General features: G+C 55.5%; 1 annotated feature.

The window, feature by feature from the left end:
* Positions 1-502: an enhancer, noted in NCBI's record as "H3K4me1 hESC enhancer chr18:77825575-77826076 (GRCh37/hg19 assembly coordinates)". NCBI's record gives its function as "activates a minimal SCP1, AML or CMV promoter by ChIP-STARR-seq in naive H9 embryonic stem cells {active_cell/tissue: H9 hESC(naive)}" and the evidence as "EXISTENCE:reporter gene assay evidence [ECO:0000049][PMID:30033119]".

A 1681-nucleotide genomic window follows, 5' to 3' on the forward strand; every position in this document is an offset into this window, starting at 1 on the left:
ACTGGTACTCACAAAACTCTCCCCTGGTGAAATGAAAACACACACAGGCGGGAAGTGAGCCAGTTCTCAACTTGAGTGGCTTCTCCCCAATGCATGCTTTTTAAAACTTCCAGCGTTTTCTAATCAGATCTGGGCAATATTGTGGCATCACCTCCTGCATCCGCCTTTACCCTCCTCATCCTGTTCTTTGTCCTAAAAAAGGCTGTGGGACCAGCCGGTCTCAGAGCCCAGGTGGAGCCTCAGCTCCCCTGCGACCTGTGCTTTTCCGAGGGTGCCGCCTGGCAGGGCCTGCGTCAGGGTCACCCTGGCAGGACCAGAGGTCAAAGGTCACCCTGGCCAGACCAGAGCCTCGGAGGTCCCTGGGCTGCAGTGAGGGAGATCAGAGGTCGTGGGCTGGGGCCAGCCAAGAAGAGTTGGGGGCAGCAGGGAGCACAGTCTGGCCCTTGACATTCCCACCTGCTTGTCTGCTCCACAGGACAGTGGTCAGGAGGGCCCGGGAGTGAGTGTGCAGGGTCCTGGGTGGGCTCCACATGCATCTCATGGGGCAGCAGGACCCCGATGAGGGCACCCACAGGGTGGGAGGGTGGAGAGCTCTGCTAACCAAGATGGGGAGGCCCGGGTCAGGGCCAGCTCTGCCTCCGAGGCTATATCCAGCAGCCTTCGGCCTTGCCATGTGAGCTCGTGGAAGCCCATGCAGTGTGTGCCCCTCTGGTTGTATCTGGTGAGGCCTTGTACAGGGATGAGCTCGGACCTGAGTTTCAGTCAGCAGAAAAATAAGTTTCTGGAGGACTTGATTCTTTTCAGGGCATTCAGTTCTGTGTTTCCCCTGTACCCAAGATGAGATTTCTAATACAGTGATGTGTTTAAAATTAACCATATCTCCAGGGCAGCATCCAGCTGTGAGCCTTGGTGAAGAAGGTCCTGGAGACGGGAGTGAATGGGGTGGGGCCATCCTTGGACACACAGGAGGTTCCTGGGCCCTGGGGATGTGTCCGTGGGTGCTGAGGAGATGAGGGGTGCATGCTGTCTGGGTTCTTTTCTCTCCGCTCCATCTCTTGCAAGGTGAGGAGGGGTCTGCTGTTGATTCCTGTCCTGCCTGTGGTGCTGAAGCTCCCCTCAAGCTGGGCTTTCTCAGCAGGGAGAGTTTCTTCATTGCTTGTAGAAGTTTATGCTTCCCTGCTTTAGTCTGGGCAAATTGCTCCCCAAAGGACATGAGAGCTGAGGCTGTGTTTTTAGAGATAGGGAGCAGCTACAGGGACTTAGCTTCTTAATGAATTAATTCACAAATCTCAGCAGCTCCTGGCGATAAGATATGCAGAGCTGATGGCAGGGAGGACACGAGGTGGCTCAAAGGGAACTAAGCTTTGCGTGTGAATTTAGGGTGAGGCTAAGAGCCCTCCAGGCAGGCAGAGGAGGGTGCTGGAGGGAGGAGAGGCCGGTATAGGACCTTCGCCTTGAAGAAAGCACCCAGGTAAGGCTGGGCAGTGTTGGGAGAGAGCTTTAGTTGATCTTTTTGTTTTTGGATGTTTTCTGATGGTCCTCTATGGCTTTGGAAAATGGAGAGAAGACAGAGAGGCGTAGGCACTGAAGGCTGCAGCTGTGATTGAGGATCACGACGCCTGTTGGGGCTGCTCACCTGCCTAGGCCTGGGTGAGGAGGTGCTGGGGCCTGGCTGCACACA

Source organism: Homo sapiens, chromosome 18 (assembly GCF_000001405.40).
Source record: "Homo sapiens chromosome 18, GRCh38.p14 Primary Assembly".
Lineage (NCBI taxonomy): Eukaryota > Metazoa > Chordata > Mammalia > Primates > Hominidae > Homo > Homo sapiens.